The following is a 1,524-nucleotide window of genomic DNA, read 5'->3' on the forward strand; positions in this document are numbered from 1 at the left end:
TGAAGCAGGAAGAGTCAGGGAAGACATTCAAAGGAATAAGTACTGCTATGGTCTGAGTGTTTGTGTTCCTCTAAAATTCATATGCTGATATTCTAACCCCCAAGGCAATTGTATTAGGAGGCAGTGCATTTGGGAGTTATTAGGTCATAGGAGAAAAGCCCTCATGATTAAGATTAGTGCCCTTATAAAAGCAAGCTCAGAGAGCTGCCTTGCCCTTTTCACCATGTGAGGGCACAGCATGAAGGCAACATTTATGAACCAGAAAGCCAGACCTCAACAGACACAGAATCTGCTGGTGCCTTGATCTGGAGGACTTCCCAGCCTCCAGATCCATGAAAAATAAATTTCTGTTGTTTATAAGCTACCCAGCCTATGGAAATTTCTTATAGCAGCCAGAATGTACTAAGACAGTTCTTAATTGAATTTTGGAGGCAGGTGAAGAAGGACGAAGTTGGCAGAGAGAAGGAAGAATATCGTAGGCTGTGGTGATTAGAACTTGCTCAGAGTAGATTTCCTCCCCACTGGCATATGTTTTCAGAACTTCTTTGAAGGAAAGAAGTACACTTGTGGAACCTGGGCTAGGCTGTCCTCACCTAGCCCAGACAGAGGAACACCTTTGCTGACTCCATCACATGCTGCTGATGGTGAAGGGCGAAGGTCCTGGAATGCCTTTCTTTGAGCCTCATCCCTCTTCATGACTTCCCAGAGAGAACTGTCAGTGAGGAGTTCTGGGCCATGAAAAATGATCCTCTTCCCAGAGACTAGATTATTTCACTTAGAAAAAATCAAGCATCTTTTCTTCCTGAAAGCATTTGTCAATGGGACAGGACCTATTGCTCTCAAGGATGTCTCTGCCCCCTTTGGTGCCTGACCCCTGGAGATCTGAGATTCAACTGCTTGGCATTATTACAGACTCTGCTCTTCCCTACTACATATCTCCCCAGCAGTGTGTGGTCTCTTAGAGCTACAACCTACGCACACTATTCTCTGTAAGAGAGTAGCTCTCTGAGACAAATATTTTTCAACTTCTCCTGCCTGCCTCCAATGAATGAATAAACCTAGCAGCTGGTGTTTACACAGCACTTACCTTCGAGAGACCACAGAGCAATTTTCAGTGGCAGACTCTAATCCTTCCCCAGCTTCTGGGTAGCAATAAGTATTAATATTGTTCCCCTGAATATGGAAGATTGAGTCAAGGAACTTGCAACGGCTTGCTGAATAACACCTGTCATTTGATGGTTCACTCATTCACTCCATAGTTTTTTCCAATTATGCCCTTATTATTGTACAATAAGGTATTTTCACATATATTAACTCTTTTTTTACCAAATTTGCTTGATAATAAGAATAACCTGGAGCTCTTGTTAAACAAACAACTTCTATGATCCCTGTCCTGCACATTTTTCATTCAGTGGGTCTGAGATGGGACCTAGGAATTTATGTGTTTAACAAGCATGCCAGGGGATTTCCCCCCCTTTTGTGTGAAGTATAACATTCTCTGTGATTACTATCATTAGGAAAATT

At 42.7% G+C, this 1,524-nt stretch overlaps 1 annotated feature.

The window, feature by feature from the left end:
• Positions 540 to 998: a silencer, noted in NCBI's record as "fragment chr1:119078188-119078646 (GRCh37/hg19 assembly coordinates)". NCBI's record gives its function as "represses an EF-1alpha promoter that drives an FKBP-Casp9 reporter gene in an ReSE screen in phorbol 12-myristate 13-acetate-treated (for megakaryocytic differentiation) K562 erythroleukemia cells {active_cell/tissue: K562(+PMA)}" and the evidence as "EXISTENCE:reporter gene assay evidence [ECO:0000049][PMID:32094911]".

This window comes from Homo sapiens, chromosome 1 (assembly GCF_000001405.40).
Source record: "Homo sapiens chromosome 1, GRCh38.p14 Primary Assembly".
NCBI classification, from domain to species: Eukaryota; Metazoa; Chordata; class Mammalia; order Primates; family Hominidae; genus Homo; species Homo sapiens.